Raw genomic sequence first — 20,956 nt, 5'->3', positions numbered from 1 at the left:
CAGTAAACCTTGTTAGTGTCAGCATCTAATCTGTATTAAACTTTTACTTATTTCCCTTTACTTTTTAGATTCAAAGAGAGGGTTCACACAGATATCTTTCATGCTACATTATTGAGCTTAAGGAAGATAAATTTCCCAAATATGATATTTGGTATATTTGTGTGTCTGTAATTTTTTTTTTAATTTAATGCTGTATTTAATTTGTAAGTCCTGCCATTGACTCTACCAGAGGAGATTCTTCAAGCTTAGTTGCTGAACTTCAAGAAAAGCTTCAGGAAGAAAAAGCTAAGTTTCTAGAACAACTTGAAGAGCAAGAAAAAAGAAAGAATGAAGAAATGCAAAATGTTCGAACATCTTTGATTGCGGAACAACAGGTCTGTATCTCTTTTCCCATTTCATTTGAGAACTAAAGAAGGTAGACATAAATTAACAAATATAATTTCTTTATGTAGCTGAGGGTTTCTTATATCTTAGATGTGATGTTCCTTACATTGATCCTGTTAATAAATTTCCTCTTGACAAAAGCGTGTATTTTTAAGAATTTTTTTTAGTTTTTTTACTCATCTGGAGAATAATATTTTTCATGTTAACATGTCACATGACAATACCAGGTGCTTCAAAATGAGATAGTCTTAGATTAGAAGCGAGGGAATGTAAATTCTGTTCCTGGTTTCTTCGCTACCTATGTGATCTTGGGTAGATCATTTAACCTCTTGAGAACTAAGATTAGTTTTCTATGAAATGATGTTTTTAATTTAAAAAATGATTTTATTTTTTCTCTAAGCTTCAAATTCTCTAAACTTTGTTATCCTAAATTACATTCAGATCAACATAAATATCTTACCCTTTCTGTAATTCTTATCCTTCTGATAGGCTGGTGGTAGATTAAGATGGAATATTATTGAATTTTGTTAATGTACTTACTGTTGTTGGTCAATAGTAAGAGGTAGTGCTTGTGAAGTATATTGGGGTTAGATAAAAAACCAGATGCCTTGTTAGAGAGCTTGTACTTTACCTAAAGTACCGGACAGCAACTAATTACAATGGCATAATTAGATTTATGCTTAATGAAGATCACCCACTGGAACATGGAGAAAGATTGGAGAACTGCAAAGCAGTCAGCTGGAAGAGCAATTTGGTAGCTACTGCTAGAATTCAGGCCAGGGATAATATTGCAGTTTGGGGTATACATTTTGAGGGATACATTTCTGAAACTGCATATTTATGGTTATTGTACACATGTAATATTATGTGGTATTTTTCCTTTTCCTAAAATGTTATGATTAATTAGTGTCTTTGTGGAATTTGAAAAAATGTAAATCAGAGAACAGAAAGAAAATAAAGTATAGTTGAAACCTCTAACAATTTTAGATTTTTAAGGCCTAGGGAAAGAAAGAAGAGCCTGGGAAAAGGGAATGAGAAAAGCACAACCAGAAAAAAAAGTGTGTGGCTTAAGGGAAGCCAAGGAAAGTTAAGTGTTCAGGGAGGAGGAATAGCCAAGTTTTAAGTAAGAATTAACAATGAGGAGGTCAGTAGTAACCTCTCTCTAAGAATCTGGATTTATAGATTCTTCTCTATGATTCATTCTGCATATTGATCTCTTTATCTCCTTGTGTTGCATTGTCTCTTTGTGTGTTCTCTTATAAGCACATGTACAATTTCTAAAATTAAGTAAAGAATGAATTAACTGAAACCAAAAGTATAGTATTGACAGCTGTCTAATTTACTTCTTCATGTTTTGATGTCTCTTTTAATATTTATAAAATAAGAGTGGGAGAAATGACTTCTAAGGTACCTTCCAATTTTCCATGATGTGTATGTTAAGTTGTATTTATTTAAGGTTATTTGTACCTAGCTCTGTATAGGTGATTTCTGAGTTGGAACTAATTGGTTCTTAACTAGCCCCCTTTTTTCATATGCCAATTACAAATTGTGATCTTCCTAAAAATTCATTTCAAATTACAGAAATGGCAAAAATCATGAAAATAAACATAATGGTTTATATGTTTTTGTGTTTATTTTCTATATATAAATAAAATACATAGAGATGGCTTAATACAAAGCCATATCATAAATGTTTCTTTTTGAGAGATCTTCCTGTATGCTTTGTGGCCAGAAATTGTATTTAATTAAATATTTAATGAATTTATTAAAATTTTATTAAAAATGCTGTATTACTTTTCCTAAATCTCCCTATTGCCAGCATTGTTAGCATTATTCATTGATCCAAGGACCGTAGAGCTCTTAAAATTTTGGAATTAGAAATGCTGGGCAGATGAGAAGAGTCAGTTTAGATCATTTCATCATTCATCTATTGCTTTTACATTTCAAGAAGCTCAAAAATCTTGTAAGTAAATTTTTTTTTTTTTTTTTTTTTTTGCCTCTTAGAGACAGGGTCTTACTCTGTCATTCAGGCTGGAATTCAGTGGTGCAATCATGGCATGCTATAACCTGGAACTCCTGGGCTCAAGCAGTCCTCCCTCCTTAGCCTCCCGAATGGCTGGGACTACAGGCATGTGCCACCACACCCAGATAATTTTTGTAGAGACTCGATCTTGTGTTGCTCAGGCTGGTCTCAAACTCCTGGGCTCAAGCAGTCCTCCCACCTCAGTCTCCCAAAGTGCTGAGATTACAGGCATGAGCCACCAAGTCCGGCCTAAGCAAAATTTTTATACAGATTCAGTCATCTTTATTAAAGAAACTGTGCAGTTAAAATTGCCAGATTGTCTCATGAGATCCATGCAGGCAGTTGGATATGTGAGCTTCATAGTAGAGTTTATAAAAGTGGGGGAGTAATAAGTCTAGCCAATATAAATCAGCATTCCAGTGACCATTGCAGATATCCAAATAAGAGAAATAAGGAAGATAGAGTCATATCTAAAATGTTAGGGTGGTGATCAAATGCTAAAGACAAAAGGAAGGTTTCAGAGGCAGGATGATTACTCCAGGAAAAAAGTAAGTGTCTAACAGCACTCTAAGTTATTGATGCTTCTAATTCTTCAAAATTTCAAAATCTCTGACAGTAAATATATGGACAATAATAAGAAAATAGGATTTGCTTTCAAGAGACTTAAATTGGAACCAAGAAAGTAGAACCTTTGCCACAGTATGTTACATTTTCATTTTTAAAACATTTCATGAATCATACCCCATCATCTCCATGTACAAATGTGCCACAGAAAAGAATATTTGCAAGTGTATTTTCTAAGTCCTAGCTGCTAAGTACATGTAGATAAATTTAAATAATTATTCTCTTGTTCCAGACCAATTTTAACACTGTTTTAACAAGAGAGAAAATGAGAAAAGAAAACATAATAAATGATCTTAGTGATAAGTTGAAAAGTACAATGCAGCAACAAGAACGGGATAAAGGTTTGTACTGTTTTGTACTATTTTTTTTAATTTTTTAAAGTGGAAAAGATACATTCATGCAAAGTGGTTTTTTTAATTACATGATACTTTTTTAAATTTGGGTGTCCTTCAGATTTGATAGAGTCACTTTCTGAAGATCGAGCTCGTTTGCTTGAGGAAAAGAAAAAGCTTGAAGAAGAAGTCAGTAAGTTGCGTAGTAGCAGTTTTGTTCCTTCACCATATGTAGCTACAGCCCCAGAACTTTATGGAGCTTGTGCACCTGAACTCCCAGGTGAATCAGATAGATCCGCTGTGGAAACAGCAGATGAAGGAAGAGTGGATTCAGCAATGGAGACAAGCATGATGTCTGTACAGTAAGTATGGCTGTTTTCAACTGTTTTTAAGGCTGTTGCAATTCCATGAGTTATAAAGCTCTGAAGAGAGGAAATATTTTTAGCATTACTGGTTGTCCACAGCCCATGTATCTGAAAGTTGTGCTATTTTAATTCTTTAAACTGTAAGTGTGAGAAAACATTACTGAATGAATTATTTTGGGGTACTCTCATACTATACAAAGTATGTGCACCAGAATTATCCCATACTGCCAAGATAAGGATCATGGCAGTAGTATTGAGCCATTCTTATTTACAGGGAATGTTGACATTTTGGGGTCCATTACCTATAAAGGGGTTATTGTAGTAATGAATATATTCATTTTGGTGAGGAAAAGCAGGGAAGGGTTTTTTATTATTATTATTATTATTTGTTTATTCATATATAGCAAATGTTTACTGCATTACATTGAAATCGTGGCAGAGCTTACTGGAATTTAGAACTTTCTTACCAGTTCTCCTTTGAATATAGTGAAAGACCACTAAAATTGTGCTTACAATTATATCTATGGGAGAGACAGAATTGGGAGGAGAAAGTGCTCCTCTCCAAAGGACGTTGCAAGTAGAGTTTGCATTTCTAGTTGCACCTCTGGGATTTCAGATATGGGAACTGAGATTCCAAGGGCAGAAAGTCCAGATCATTATGCCACACAAAGAATTATGCCCAGTGGGTCAGTGAACACTACACCCCCATGTGAGATGAAGTAATTCGAACAAGTGATTACCAAAAGATATCATAGAATCAGCGTGGTCCCCTCGTTCAAACAGATCCAGGTTCAAGTCCTGAGTCTAGCACCTGCTTGGGAACTTGAGCAAGTCATCATCCCTTATTTTTCCATCAAGATAACAGTTATGATAACAAGACAACAGTTATGATACACCAGCAGGGTTGCTTTGGGCATTAATATTTTATTTTATTTTATTTTAATTTTTTTTTTTTTTTTTTTTGAGATGAAGTCTCACTCTTATCCCCCAGGGTGGAGTGTGATGGCACAATCTCGGCTCACTGCAACCTCCGCCTCCTGGGTTCAAGTGATTCTTCTGCCTTAGCCTCCTGAATAGCCGGGATTACAGGCGCCTGCCACCACGCCTGGCTAATTTTTGTATTTTTAGTAGAGACGGGGTTTCACCATGTTGGACAGGCTGGTCTCGAACTCCTGACCTCAGGTGATCCACTCACCTCAGCCTCCCAAAGTGCTGGGATTACAGGTGTGAGTCATCGCGCCCGGCCAGGCATTAAATTTAATGAGCACCCGTGAGAAGGTGTGGTACACAGTAAGAAACCAGTAAGTGCAGGGTCCTTCGTACCCCACCCCTGCCCACTCAGAGGAACGCAGTTAGTTGCATCTTCATATAAGCCCATTATCTGCCTGACCTTTGAGAAACTTTGGTAGGGGAGTTTTTTGTTTGTTTGTTTTTGAAAAATAAAATTACTTAGGTTTCTGTCTGGTTGAAAGGAAAATAATAGAAACTGGTTACCTTTAGACTTTGAAAGGTATAAGGCTTAAGAATGTATATTAAAAATAAAATAGAACAAAAAAAGTAATTCAAAAAAGCAAATCAAGAAAACATGGTTAAGCAAATCAAGAAAACATGGTTATTTAGCAAACATGAATGACATAAATATGTCCGGACATGTGTGAAAAAAGTGAACCACCGTATGAAAACCTCTTTAAAAAAATATATCCAACTTCATTCTACATATAGGAGAGGTACCTAGAGCCAAATGATACAGAAAGTTTACTATAATATGATTCAGAAAGATATAGAAGGGAAAAATATAAAAGCAATTCAAAGCAAAAGGCTTTAAAAAGCTTTAGGAATTTAAGGCTTTTTTGATTGACACATAAATTATACATATTTATGGTTTACAGTGTGATGTAGTTACATGTGTACATTCAAATTAGAGTAATCCATCACCTCAAACGTTTATCATTTCTTTATGGTGAGAACATTCAAAATGCTCTTTTCTAGCTATTTTGAGATAGCGCAGTACATTATTGAACACCAAAACTTATTCCTCCTATCTGGCTGTAGCTTTGTACCCGTTGACCAACCTCTCCTCATCTCCTCTCCTCTGTACTCTCCCCAGCCTCTGGTAACCACTATTCTGCTCTCTGCCTCCATGAGATAAACTTAAGATTCTGCATATTAGTCAGATCATATGTAGGTTTTTTTATAAATATGAAAATTGAGTTATTCAGAACCAAAGTATCAAAAACAGATATGACGAAAGTGGTACTCTGAGAGAACTGTGTAGTTCCTTTATTTTTAAATGAATTAATAAAAACAAATGAGCCACAATAAAATAAAAGTTGTTTAGTAGATATTGGGATAAATAGAAGGTACAAATAAATATATGTAATGAAAAGAGGGACATAACCTTAGTTATAGTTTTAAAAATTACAGAGAACATGATACAAGTTAATCTCACCTGTGAATTATAAATACAAGGAATCCTGAAGACAATTTTAGCTTATCAAATGCCTTGTGGTTTTATGATGATATAGTCATCATGACCCAGTGGAGTATTTTAGGAATGCCAGAGTAATAACTAAACAGTACAATACCTAACCATACTCACTGATTACTTGAGAAGGTTTATAGAGTCATGTCAGTAGAAGCTGAAATGACAATTGATATAATGCAGTGCCCATTTATTTAATAATTTAACAAAATCCTTAGCAAACTAGGAGTAGATGGGAACTTCTTTTTATTTGTAAGTATATGGGAGAGACATAGCAAGCATCGTATTTCATATTGAAACATTTAGAAGTATTTTTCATAAATTCAGGAAGAACACAATGCCAGCTGTCACCATTGCTATTCAGCAAGACAATAAATAAAATTTGGAAACAACTTTTTCTGTCCTCATTTTCAGACAGTATCCTTTACAAACCACAAAGACCTAAAGACATATTAGAATTAACAGAGTACATCAGAGTGTAGATCATAGATATATCCAAAGAGGAGTAGTTTGCATATTTACCAGCAAAAGCTGACTTTAATATGTATAAAAGATCCCAATAAAAATTTAAAGGAATAACTTACTTGTAATTAATTTAACAAAAATGCGCAAGACTTCGTGAAGAAAACTAATTTTATGAAGAGGCCTGAAAGCTGTACGTGGAAAGATAGATGGAAATGGAGTATTATTAAGATATCATTTTTCTCCTCAGATGTATTCAGTGATTTAATCTATTACTCAATTAAAATTCTAACAATATGTTAGGTTAAAAAGTGATGTTTGATGCTAGAATTCATATTGAAAAATGTGTAAAAATAATTGATAGCATTTCTAAATAAAGATCAGAGAGTAGAGATTTGTCCTGCTAGGTGTTAAGATATAGTCTTAAACTACATAGATAGTATTTAATGCAGTACATTATTGGTATAGCCACAGGCAAATAGATTAATAGAGTTAGTAATCTTGAAACAAACCAGTGGATATATATGGAAATCTACATGTAGCATTTTAAATCAGTTTGGTAAAAGGATGGACTCCTCAGAATGGGACATTAGAGGCATTGTTGATCTATTGGTGAGAGGTGAGCCATATTTTACATTGTATATATAAACAAAATGATAGATGTAGTAAAGACTAAATTTTTTTTTGAACTTACAGAGTTTCTTAAAGAAAATAAAAGACTACTCTGAAATCAGAGTAGGAGAGCACTTGGAAAACAATAATCAATATTACATTGAAATTTAAAGCTTGAGTACAACAGAAAACAAACAGCAGAAGTCTGGTGGTTAATATTTTTAATAAATAAAAGATAAAAACCAAACTTTTAAATAATGCCAGTTTTTTATAATCTCTTTTAAAAAATAGGAGAGAACTCTTCCCAACTTATCCTCTGAGGCCAGTATTATATACTAATACCAAATCAGACAAATATATCAAAAGAAGAAAATACATCTTCTATAACTATTGACACAAATATTATCGGCAAAATACTAATAGATCCAGTCTGGCAGAATACAAAAGGAATTCCAATTGGCTTTATTTCAGAAATGCAAGGTTGGTTTAACATCTAAAAGTCAATTTATGTCATACACTATATCAGTAGAATGAAAGGACAGAAAAACACATGATTATCTCAATAGATGAAGAAAAAGCATTTGACAAAACCCAACAGCCTTTCATCATAAAAACACTCAACAAACTAGGAATTGACTTCCTCAACCTATTGAAAGGCATCTGTGAGAACCCACAATTAACATCATACTCAATGGTGTAAGACTGAATGCTTTTCCCCTAAAATCAAGATGAAGATGGCCTGCTCTTGCCACTGCTGCTCAACATTGTACTTGGAAGTTCTATCACGGGCACTTAGGCAAGAAAAAGAAATTAAAGGCATTGGCCAGGCGCAGTGGCTCATGCCTGTAATCCCAGCACTTTGGGAGGCCAAAGTAGGCAGATCACCTGAGGTCAGGAGTTCAAGATCAGCCTGGCCAACATGGTGAAACCCAGTCTCTACTAAAAATAGAAAAATTAGCTGGGCATGGTGGTGGGCACCTGTAATTCCAGCTACATGGGAGGCTGAGACAGGAGAATTGATTGAACCTGGGAGGCAGAGGTTGCAGATTGCGACCCTGCCCTCCATCCTGGGTGACAGAACAAGACTCTGTCTCAAAAAATAAATATATAAATAAATAAATAAATAAATAAATGCATCTAGATTGGTAAGGAAGAAAAAACACTATTTGCATACATAGCCTGATCTTTTATTGAGAAAATCCTAAGGTCTCCTCTAAAAAAATACTGTAATTAACAAACTAGTTCAGTAATGTTGGAGGATACAGGTTCAGTGTGCAAAAATCAATTGGAGCTGGCTGTGGTGGTGCACAGCTGTGGTCCCAGCTACTCAGGAGGCTGAGGCAGCAGGATCCCTTGAGCCTAGGGGTTTGTGAACAGGGATGACATAACAAGACCCTGTCTCTTAAAAAATTGTCATTCTTTCTACTAGCAATGAATCATCCAAAAATGAGATTTAAAAGACAGTTTCTTTTCTGATGGCATCAAAAAGGTAAAAATACTTAGGAATAGATTTAACAAAAGAAGTTCAATACTTGTACAAATTACAAAACATGGAAAAAAGTTAAGACAGTAGGGCATCCTGTGTTTACTGACTGGAAGACTTAATCGCCTTAAGATGGTAGCCCTCCCCAAATTGGTCTGCCAGTTCAACACAATTCTTATCGTAATCTGAACTGTGTTATGTTGCAGAAAAGGGCAGGCTGATCCTAAAATTCATATGGAATTGCAAGAGTCCCAAAATAGCCAAAGCAATCTTGAAAAATAACAAAGTCTCACACTGTTTGACTAATCTTAAAATTTGTAAGCAAGGGTAATAAGACACTGTAGTGCTAGCCTGACTGTATCAGTGGAATAGAATTGAGAGTCCAAAATTAGCCCTCGTATTCATGGTCGGTTGAACCCTTGCATTTTGGTTAAAGGTGCTGAGACGGTTCCGTGAAGGAAATAGCTTTTTCAGCAAATGGTGCAGGGATAGCATAGCTGGATATTCTGATGCAAAAGGATGAAGTTGGACCCTTTCCTCACCATATGCGCAGGTTGACTTAAATAGATCATAGACTTAAGTGTAAAAGCTAAAATTATAAAACTCTTACAGAAGTCAATCTTTATGACCTTATATTAGGCAAAGCGTCTTCCTAAAGAAGTAGCATGTTGAAGAAGACAGAATACCTGCCTTGCATCAAGTTACTTGAAATATAATTTGGGGATTATACCTGTAGATGAATTTTAAAACCTAAATAATAATTGTTTTTCTCTTTTCTAATTTTATAGCATTTTTTAAAATTTTCTAATTTGTTTTTGGATGTTTTAGTGTATTGGGCAAATTCACACCTGGCATAGTAACTAGTGAGTACATAGCATCCACTTAGTAAATCTACTGAAGTCTTTAGCCACTCAAGAACTACGACTTTATCATGGATTCACTCACAAATATTAAGAAGAGTGGTTCTTAATGCCTGGGAAAAATAAGAAATTTAAAGACATCTCTAGATAAATGCATACACAGAGTTTTACTTATTATTTCAAAAGGTTTATAGATCTAGGTCTGCTACAGAGAATATACAACATTGAAATTACATGCTAACTGAAATAAGCTACTTTTGAAAATTTATGAAAACCCTTAAATTGTTAAAGTGATCTGTATTAATATTTTAATTTCTAAAATCTTGAAGAATGTAAAGTTTAGAATTTCAAACTGAAACTCAATTATTCTCACTTTTAGAGAAAATATTCATATGTTGTCTGAAGAAAAACAGCGGATAATGCTGTTAGAACGAGTAAGTAAATTATCTTCTTGAAGTACCATGTTTAATATGTTCACTTTTGGATACAGTTAAACTTCATTCTGGAAACATACAATAGACTATTTGTGTTTATAAATTAAGCCTTTTTATGATTAACTTATTTTTGTGGTCACTGTTTTGGGAAGTCTTGTCATTTTATGATCTTACTAGCTAAACAGTTGACAGTATTTCAGCCCTCCCATTTGTTGTAATTTCCCAATGAATGAAGTCTGTATGAGAGGAAAAAGTTGGTAGTTTTTATTAAATCAATGTGTAAAGTAATAGTTTTACCTAATAGTTGAGAATTCAGCAAAATAACATGAATGGCAATTTTAAACATCTATTTCAAAAACAAAGTATTAAATACTTTTTAGAAATTGGCAAAAACAAAAATAAGTAATGAAGGGAGTTATGTTTTAAATAAAGAATTGAAATGGACAAGAAAAAACTGATAATAAAGGGTTTCCTTTATTAAGGGTACTATAAGATCAAATTGGTACACATTTGGCAGATCATTGTTCATAGATTACTTTTCATTCTTTAGGCCTATAAGATTTTCAACAATGCCTTTTTTTCTTTACAAGTGTAATTGTCTGATAAAAATCCAAATTCAGAATTGTACAACTTCATTTGAATATAGCATGTTTTCTATTATGAAAGGGTTATGTGATTTCCTACCTCAGCATAACCTGAGATGTATGTTACAGATGCCAGATGTATTCTCTTAGGCACGACTTAGTTAACAAAGTCTCTGGGGATAGATCTCAGATTTTTACTACATATTTATATATTCCACAGGTGTTTCTAACGCATATTAATGTTTGACAGTCCTTGGTAAATGTATCTAAAATTGCTCTGGTTCTCATTTAAGCTAGTAGATAATGAAAACATTTGGAAAGAATTCATAGAAAATAATATCCCCATCAACTTTTCATACCCGAACCAAACATTTTTGTCTGATGAAAACTTTGACAATCACTGTTTAGATTTATTTGAGTAGGTACAAGGATAAACCACAGGTCTCTTTTTTCCACCTGCAGACATTGCAATTGAAAGAAGAAGAAAATAAACGGTTAAATCAAAGACTGGTAAGATTTTTCTTCTTGGTAAATTGGTCTTAACATTTTTAAATGATTTGCATTATATTTCATTATGAAGATATTCCATCAGAGGATGTATGCTTTGATTGACTTATCTATAGTAGGTTTGTTGGTCCGTGTTGGTCATTGAATCCTATTGATTTTCAGAATGCTGAAGTCAGGCCAGAGTTATCTCCTGACTGTAGAGTCAGACTTTTTCCTTAGCGTGAAATTAAATAATGTCTTGGCGAATTTACGGCTGTAGGTCTGACCAGTTGAAGCACCTAAGATTCTTAAAATCATCAAAATCAGTTTTGAGTTATGTTTCATAAGTCTTTTGAAGATTAATATATTTACTCACAAGTGTGCGTAATTTTAATACATTGTATCTTTTCATGATTTTTTTTTTTTAAGACAGTCTTGCTCTGTAGCTTAGGCTGGAGTGGTGTGATCTCGACTCACTGCAACCTCCACCTCCCGGGTTCAAGTGATTCTTGTGCATTAGCCTCCCGAGTAGCTGGGATTACAAGTGTGCTGCGCCGTCACACCCGGCTAATTTTTACATAATTAATAGAGACAGGATTTCTCCATTTTGGACAGGCTGGTCTCAAACCCCTGGCCTCAGGTGATCTGCGCACCTTGGACTCCCAAAGTGCTGGGAGTTACAGGTGTGAAACATTGCACCCAGCCCTTTTCATGAATCTTATTTTTAAGTGAAAGTGCCTGAAAGGCAAGAGATCCCATGTGGTACTGTAAATTGCCCTGGTTTTTATTGATTTGTTTTGTTTCGTTTTTAATTAAAAAAAAAAAATCGAGACAAGGTCTCTCTCTGTTGCCCAGGCTGAAGTGTGGTGTTGCGATCTTGGCTCACTGCAGCTTCAACCTCTTTGGCTCAAGCAATCCTCCTGTCTCAGCTCAGCAAGTAGCTGGGAGTACAGGCGAGTGCCGCTGCACCCAGCTAATTTTTGTTTTGTTTTGGTTTTAGGTTTTGTTTTTTTGTTTTCGTAGAGATGGGGTTTCACCATCTTGTCCAGGCTGGTCTCGAACTGCTGAGCTTAAGCGATCCGCCTGCCTCAGCCTCCCCAAGTGCTGGGATTCCAGGCAAATTGGAATTGCCTGGAATTTTGCTGCACCCAACCAAACTGCCTTGGCTTTAACCTGTGAATTTAACCAATTATTTGAACAGCCCATTTTACAGCCAATTATATGTTTTAATAAAGCAATAACTTTATTTTTTCAAGTTCTATTAATTACAGTTTACAAGGTAGTAGGAACAGTTTAAGGCTTCTGTTCAGTGCTTTTGAAAAGTTTTGAAATACTTTTTAGAATTTAGTTTGTTTAAAAAATAAAAATATCTTGTAGTGAGACATCTCCTTTCTTCTTTATACCTTAACTTGAACAGCAAAAATCACATATTTTGTAGTGATTATACTGTGAATCATTAATTTTATCACAAAGACTTAGAAGAATGGTCTATCTCAGACATGACTCAATACGTGTTTTATGTAGTATGCTTTATTTATCCTCAATAGAATATAAGCTCTGTTTGGCAACGATTTTAATCAGTTTTGGTCACCGCTACATTCTTAGCATCTAGAATGGTAACTGGTATACTATAGATGCTTGGCATATGTTTGTAGATTAATTGTGAACCCAAAAGTATCTGAGACAGGTCTCAATCAATTTAGAAAGTTTATTTTGCCAAGGTTAAGGACGAGCTCATGACACAGCCTCGGGAGGTCCTGACGTGTGCCCAAGGTGGTCAGGACACAGCTTGGTTTTATACATTTTAGGGAAACATGAGATATCAACCAGTATGTGTAAGATGTTCTGTCTGGAAAGGTGGGACAACTCAAAGCTGGGAAGAGGGCTTCCAGGTCATAGGTAGATAAGAGACAAATGGTTGCATTATTTTGAAACTGTGATTAGCCTTTCACTGAATACACAATTTACATGTCAGAGGATGGTAGAGGAATTGTCACTTATGCTTCAGTCTGACTTAGTGAAGCAGTGGGGCCGAGAAAGCAATCATATACGCATTTGTCTCACATGAGCAGAGGAACAGAGGGATGACTTTAAGTTCTGTCTGTTTTTTGTCCACAAGGAATTTTCTTGTGGGCAAATTGTGAGGTCTTTGTAGCTATCTTATTTTAGGAATAAAATGGGAGGCAGGTTTGCTTGATGTAGTTCCCAGCTTGACCTCCCTTTTCCTTAGTGATTTTTGGTTCCCAAGATTTATTTTCTTTTCACAGAATAAATTGTCTTTCAGACCCAGAGAGCATCACAGTCACATTCAGAAAGGTGTCCAAATGTAAATCACACTTTCACATAGAATTACAGCTATATTAACAAATTTTTTCTTCCATTGTCTTCATTTGTAATATATAAAAAACTTAAGCTTTTAAAAAACTAAAGTTGAATTATGGTCTTAAAAATGATGGTCAATCTTATCTTCACTGGCAGGATATAGACCATTTGTCTGGATAATTTTAGTAAGTTGCTATACAGTTTTAGGCCTTCCTAGTTATTATTTGTTGTGTTATTTCTCTTTTTAAAACCCTGCATTGTACCAGATAGCGTTCAGAGGGAAGTGGAGGAAATTCAGAGCATCAAAATTTGACTTAATAAACAAAATATCCTTATCTGTCCTTGGTTTGTGCAACCATGCATTGGGCTCACTTTGCTTGGGAAAAATAGGTGTTTTTATCACCCTTTCAAGCTTCAAAGACCTTGGTTTCCATGCTTCAGGTCTTATGAGATGGTGTGGATAAATGGATTGAAGCTTGTTTGAAGAGGAGAACAGTCCCGGCTAAGCCATGGCTATAGCTTATCAGCTAGCAAGTACCATTTGATTGTGCTCATCATCAGTAGAGGAAGTGGGTGGCTATCACAAAATTCATTGTTTCGTGATTGTTCACAAATTTTTTTAAACTGAGACATCTCAGAAGTTTCATTGAAGATGAGAAAAGAGGTTTGTTCTCAGCCTTCAGAACTTTATGCTCCCACCCCAGTTTAACCAGAGTAGTAGTGTTTGCTAGGCAAGGTGTCAGAGCGCTGGCATTGCAAAGTGGTTGACTCTGGTTTGGTAAGAAGAATTTACTGACAACAGTATAGGTTTGAAAAAGGAAAGTTTTATTAGAGCGAATGATGCTGAAGAGTGTAGCGGGGTGCCTCAGCAAGAGAGGACTGAGCACGCTGTGGTGAATTTTCCCGACGAGCATATATGGACCTTAAGGCAGGATCTTAAAGGTAGTTTGGACCAATGTTGGCCGTGTAGGTCATGATAAATGATTACATTTGTAGACATTTTTGTGTCTTGATGTCAGCAAGGGTTGCTCAGTGAGTTTTGGCATGCATACATTCCAGAGATGTATAGAAATTCTAGTTACTTACAACATTTTTGAAAGAGACCTGTAACCACATGCTAGGAAAGTTTAATTACTTCTAAATTCCTCAGCGTTCTGCCTCCAGATGGCCTGTTTGATGGTCACCAGGTGTCTTTGCTTGCTGCATTATACTTCTAACCTCTGCCTTCCAGGCTCAAGTGATCTTCCCACCTCAGACTTCCGAGTAGCTGGGACCATAGGCGCTTGCCATTATGCCCAGCTAATTTTTTGTATTTTTGGTAGAGATGGGGTTTCACCATTTTGCCCAGGCTGGAGATTTTAAATCTTTTTGGTTTTTTTGTTGTTGTTCGTTGGGACAACTAAGTTCCTCTTCAAAGACTCAACTTCCTGGTCATAAGTTGTAAGATTGTAAATCAACCCCATCCCCTTCTCCCCTCTGCCTTCTCCTTTTCTCACAAATCGCACATTTACCCTATTTGGAAAAAGTTTAGGTCTAAGCTAACCGGGATCAGCTTAGATTGTGTGGTCCAACCCCAGCCAATAGGGGAAGGACACAGAAACAGAAACTGCATTAGAGATAAAACCCCTTCCTTCCTTTGTTTGGTGTTCTCTTGCAATTGTGACGGCTGTGAGCAGCAGCCTTCTGCAGAAGTAAAGTTGCCTTGCCAAGAAATTTTCTAAGTGTGGGTTTCTTTTGGCTACACTGAGCACTTGTTTCCAACATTGTTGTTTTTCCAAAATGAAAGATTTTGAATCTAATGCATTAGAATTTTCAAAGTCTTCTTGAAAAATCTGTCCTTTTCTCTGTGTTTTATTTTTAAGATTAAATATGTAATATAAATAAAATGTGATTCAAAAATCAGTTTTTAATCTAACCAAATTTACTAATGGTTGAAATAAAGGAATTATTAATGAACATAAGAACTATATTAGTTTGGGCTCTTTAAAGCTGGACACAGGCTTGAATGTGTATAACAGTGGGTGAAATTTTTGCAGTAAGAATGCATGTGGTACTCAAATTGTGTAAGTTCATAAACTTTTTTTTTTTTTTTAGATGTCTCAGAGCATGTCTTCAGTATCTTCAAGGCATTCTGAAAAGATAGCTATTAGAGAGTAAGTATTTTAGTTTTGTGAGTATTTTTCTGTGAAAAACATTCACTGAATTGTTAATGAAAATGTATTTCAGTGACAGTAATTCAGGTCCAGGTTCATTGAGCTGAGTGTTTTGCACTCAGTAGTAGTAAAAGTTTTTTACTGGAAAGCAGGATTTTTCTAAATTGTTATTCTGGAAACATTTAGATTGCCAAAACTTTCCAGTTATAGCATTATGATTAACATAAATATCCTTGAAGCCTTTTCCTCCAGTTAACTTTTCAGCATGTGCTACCTCTTTTAAATCCCATTTATCTCCTTAGTCTTGTTAATCTATATTGGAGAGTTTTGATTTGTTTTTAAGTTGCAGTGTTTCCTCATTTTTAGTTTTTAGATTTCATTTTATTAATATTCTACAAATTCATAATAAACAAATTGTCAATGAAAAAGTCAAACTCTGTAAAATATTTGAAGATATTTATTCTGAGCCAAATATGAGTGACCATGGCCTGTGACACAGCCCTCAGGAGCCCCTGAGAACATGTGCCCAAGGTGATTGGATGACGGTGAGGGGGAAACTTGGTTTCATACATTTTAGGGAGACATGAGACATTGAAGATACAAGTTGGTTTGGTCCAGAAAGGTGGGACAAATGAAAGCTGGGAGGGTAGCTTCCAAAGTATAGGTAGATTTTTAAAGTTTTCTGATTGGCAGTTGGTTGAAAGAGCTGTCAGTAGAAAGGAATGTCTAGGTTAAGATAAGAGGTTGTGGAGACCAAAGTTTTGTCATGCAGATGAAGCCTCCAGGTAGCAGGCTTGACAGATAATAGTTTGTAAATGTTTCTTATCAGGCTTAACCTCTGTGTTAGTGTTAAATTCTTGTTGACTTTTCCTGAATTCTAAGAGGGAAGAGGACATGATGAGGCAAGTCCAACCCCTGCCTTTTGTCATGGCCTGAACCGGTCTTTCAGGTTAAATTTATAGGGCACTGGCCTAGAGGAGGAAGTTCATTCAGATGGTTGGTTGGGGGGGCTTCAAATTTTATTTTTGGTTTACAGAATTTATCAATTGAATGGTTTAATAATTTTCCTGCACTGTATTACCCCATAGTTAAAATTTTTCTTTAGCTTTGGTTATTTAAATGGAGCTCTGGAATAATAAAAGCATTGTTAGCAACTTATGAATAGTGTTCAGCCTTTTATCCTGACAGGAAGGTTGTGAAAGTTAAGACCCTTTATTTAACTTCTTGTATTTTATTTCTAAATTTCTAAATTTGTTGACCACATTTTTGGTTGTCAGATATCTGTGATTCTGACTTTTCATGTCTCATTAAAATTTCAGCTTCTCTCAGTGATTTGAAAGGGCTTAGTGGTATCTGTCTTTACCAGCTGTATGTCATGTCAATGGGCCGTTCATTAATGTTCTTTCAGAGACTAGAGAGAGAGGAGCTCCAAAAATACTGCCTCATAGAGGCCCCATTTCCCATCTCCCCATTTTAAGTTATTAGCTTTTGGCATTTAGCCAAAACAGTGCCTGCCACATGGTTGTTAGGTAATCACTAAGTATTTGTAGGGTAACTTAATAAATAAAAGACATTAAAAGTTTCCCCAGCTGATTTTGATGATTTATTAGGTATAGGATCTACCAATTTAAATGATCTTGACAACTGAAAAATATGAGATTGATTTTCAAGGCCTTTTGATGTTTTGAACAACAGTTCTGAAAAAGGCTGTAAAGAGACAAACACCACTTAAGCATGTAATTGGTTGTACCCACTTCTCTCTTTCCCTGTCTTCTTTCGGGCTTATACCCCAAAATAGTAATATCTGTTGACTTGTTTAGACCTAATTAAGCACCTGACTTCTGGACCTAGCTCAGTTGCTTTTTCTTGTAAATTGAAGAGCACTACGCTTGGAGACAAGATCTAATTTTTCTTTGACACTGTGACTGTATATGAGATGTCTCTCTGAATTTTTGGTGTGAAATGAAAGATTAGGAGAAAAAAATCTTGCTATGACTGGATAAACTGTAATGGGTGCTTTTTCTGCTTTTCATCCAGTTCCTTAACGTTAGATAATGGAAACTTTATTAAAGAAATTTTTGGTTTTTGACAGCCCCTGACATCATCCTTTGAATATCTGTGCATGACCAGCAGTCCCATTAGGACCTGGGCAGAATGCAAAAAGAGTATCATGTAAATGTGAAATTTAATATTGCATTAATATCTTAATATGTAGTTGAGCATTAAGTATATATGCTAAGTTTTCAGAATAGGGGGATTGAAAGTAACTCTAAGTCAATAAAATTGCATTTCTTTATTCAGTTTTCAGGTGGGAGATTTGGTACTCATCATCCTAGACGAACGCCATGACAATTATGTGTTATTTACTGTTAGTCCTACTTTATATTTTCTACATTCAGAGTCTCTACCTGCCCTGGATCTCAAACCAGGTGAGGGTGGTAAGTGTCATTCCATGACTAAAATATAAACCTGGAATGGAGGAAATTATATAAGTAAAGATTTTTTTTTCCCTGTTTAATTACATAAGAATTAAGTCACTAAGAGGGAACCCTGTGTAATCTGCTTTTTTATAAAATCTGTATTATCTAGATTATTTTCATGGATTCCATTTACAATTCAGAATTAAGGAGTGTAGCTTATACAAGGGACCAGTTGATCAGAATGTGCAGTGATTCGGACATCTCATAACCCTAGCAGTTGGATAATTATATTGTCAAAGTTCTCATGTACAGACTATTCAAAATTAATGTATGCTTATTTGTTTATATAAAAGCATTATTTTTTGGCAAAAAAAACTTTCTTAAATTATAAAATGTCTAGTCTATCCTATATCATCCTATGTTCCTACCTTGTTTATCATTATACTGTTCTATACACTTATTTTTTTAAAAAGGAAATAAGCTTTGTTAAAATATACTAAGTAACAATGTCTATTATCTATTTGATTTTTAAAATACTAAAAAAGAACAGAATAGATATCCTGGTGTACTTAGCCTAAGTAGAATTATTTTTAACACTAAAACGAAGTAAGTCCATTTAGATTGATGTTCCTAATCTAATTGGACTGACTCGCAACAAAGTCAAGTATCTTATCTATATATTTATAGGTAGATATTTTTTTTCGAAACGGAGTCTTGCTCTGTCGCCTAGGCTGGAGTGCGGTGGCACGATCTCAGCTCACTGCAACCTCTGCCTCCCAGGTTCAAGCAATTCTCCTGCCTCAGCTTCCCGAGTAGCTGGAATTACAGGCGTGTGCCACCACGCCCAGCTAATTTTTGTATTTTTAGTAGAGGCGGGTTTTTACCTGTTGGCTAGGCTGGTCTCAAAACTCCTGACCTTGTGATCTGCCTGCCTCAGGCTCCCAAAGTGCTGGGATTACAGGCTTAAGCCACCGTACCCGGCCTTTTTTTTCTTTAAGACAAGTTTTTGCTCTGTTACCCAGGCTGGAGTGCAGTGGCATGATCATTGGTCACTGTAGCCTTGAACTCCTGGGCCCAAGCAATCCTCCTGCCTCAGCCTCCTGAGTAGCTGGGACTAGGTACTATAGATTTGCACCACCACTATGCCCATTTTTTGTTTTGTTTTGTAGAGGCAGGGTCTCACTTTGTTGGCCAGGCTGGCAAATTCCTAGTCTTGAACTAGGCCACTTTCCCCATGACAACTCCATCATGGCTATTTGTGGTTGGCTGTTTAGAGTATCCATGAAACAGTAATCATGTAACCATGAAAAATGAGAAGATAGCTTATAACTTACTATTTTTACTTAGTACTTTTTACCTTGAAAATAATGAACCTGATATTTCTTTTGTCTTTTATGGGGTTTTTTGTTTTTCAGTTGTTTAAACCTTTTATTTGAATATGATTTTTAAACTTAGAAAACGTCGCAAAGATTAATATAGTACAAAGAAAACCTATATTTCTTTACCCAGATTCATCTGTTAACATTTTACCCCACTTGCAATATCTTTTTATGTGTATGTATCTAAGATATAAATATACACAAATGTGTGCACACTTTTTTCCCCCAGAACCGTATGATGATAAGTTACATCTTAGCCCATTACCTTTCAACATTTCCATGTTCATTTTGAAGACTTCAGTGTTTAAATCTGGGAAACATTAAAAAACTTTTTTAAAAATGCACACTGCCATTTTAAAGGCTTTCACAAGTACTGCAGAAAAGAATTTATTTATTTAGCAGTCTTACTTAACCATTAATAAACCCCCGTTCCTTTTTTCCTTTGAGGAATGCCAGTTGGGATCATGCTACCCCTGTGTTGTTGCCTTGGGAGAGTGCGGATTACCAGAGTGTTTTTATGCCTTTTGTTAGTGGGGCTCATTACTCTTCTGGCATCATACAAGCATTTATTTTTAGATGATTCTTTTTGGATGTTAGTAATTGGCTGTGAAGTGCTAGTTTGCTCTTCAGAGAATTCACCACATCCTATTGTCCAGGGGCTTTTCTGTTTCTGTCATGTGATCGTATTCTTCAGGTTCATTTCTGATTATTTATTTGGGATATCTTTCGTGTATATCTTCCCAAATTATTTGTATGGAATAAAAATCCGTATGCCTTCTTTCAAAGGCTTTAGCCTAAACACAATACAGACAGTTCCCAACTTATGGTAGTTCTACTTAAAACTTTTTGACTTTACCATGGTGTGAAAGTGATACACATTCATAGAAACCCTACTTTCGGTATCCACACAACCATTCTGTTTTTCACTTTTAGTATTCAATAAATTACATGAGACATTCAACACTTTAAAATATGCTTTTTGTTAGATGATTTTGCCCAACTGAAGGCTAATGTAAATGTTCTGAGACTAGGCTAAGCTATGGTGTATGGTAGATTAGAAGTATTAAATGCATTTTCAACTTAGATATTTTCAATATAGGATGGGTTTAATCTGGACATAACCTTATCATAAGTTGAAAGGCATCTGTAGTTTATTGCCTGAATACTTTTGAAGTCAACTTTAATAAGACAGCTTCTTTTCTGATGAATTTAAAAAGAGAATGGGTACCACTTGGCTTGTCACATTTTGGCTTTATGAGGACTAGGATTATCCTGTCTTCTCTCACATTTTTCAGCTTTCCTTCATTCACACAAGTACTGCCCTTCTAGAATTTTTTGGTTCTTAGCCCTTATTAATTTATTGAGTACCAACTGTATACACACTGCTGTGCCAAGCACTGTGGCATACAGATGTGAGAACTGTTCACTTGCTGCCTTTGAGAACTTGTATTAAAAATACTGCCCATCAAAAATGAGTGTTTTGCTTTGAACCTATACATTTTGTTTGCTTAAAGAAATGGGAAAGGTCATCTTTATTAGTTCTTTCAATAG

The 20,956-nt window shown here is 35.3% G+C and overlaps 1 protein-coding gene across 16 annotated transcripts in view, besides 1 other annotated feature; it reads left to right on the top strand.

Annotated features, from left to right (window-relative positions):
* Positions 1–20,956, top strand: part of RB1CC1 (RB1 inducible coiled-coil 1) — a 91,978-nt gene that overhangs the window by 68,360 nt on the left and 2,662 nt on the right. For 7 of the 16 annotated variants that reach the window (XM_017014109.2, XM_017014106.3, XM_017014103.3 and 4 more), the window contains 7 exons: positions 209–374; positions 3,264–3,372; positions 3,485–3,725; positions 10,007–10,061; positions 11,087–11,155; positions 15,548–15,606; positions 17,908–18,044. In XM_017014109.2, coding sequence (XP_016869598.1) covers positions 209–374; positions 3,264–3,372; positions 3,485–3,725; positions 10,007–10,061; positions 11,087–11,155; positions 15,548–15,606; positions 17,908–18,044 — 836 coding nt within the window. Of the gene's footprint in view, positions 1–208; positions 375–3,263; positions 3,373–3,484; positions 3,726–7,575; positions 8,120–10,006; positions 10,062–11,086; positions 11,156–15,547; positions 15,607–17,907; positions 18,045–20,956 lie in introns of those variants that run through there. The other 9 variants (XM_011517645.3, NM_001083617.2, XM_017014107.3 and 6 more) reach the window with 4 other exon arrangements.
* Positions 16,081–16,795: an enhancer, noted in NCBI's record as "OCT4-NANOG-H3K27ac hESC enhancer chr8:53541841-53542555 (GRCh37/hg19 assembly coordinates)". NCBI's record gives its function as "activates a minimal SCP1, AML or CMV promoter by ChIP-STARR-seq in naive and primed H9 embryonic stem cells {active_cell/tissue: H9 hESC(naive and primed)}" and the evidence as "EXISTENCE:reporter gene assay evidence [ECO:0000049][PMID:30033119]".

This window comes from Homo sapiens, chromosome 8, assembly GCF_000001405.40.
Source record: "Homo sapiens chromosome 8, GRCh38.p14 Primary Assembly".
NCBI lineage: Eukaryota > Metazoa > Chordata > Mammalia > Primates > Hominidae > Homo > Homo sapiens.
This window is presented reverse-complemented; position numbering and strand designations above follow the sequence as displayed.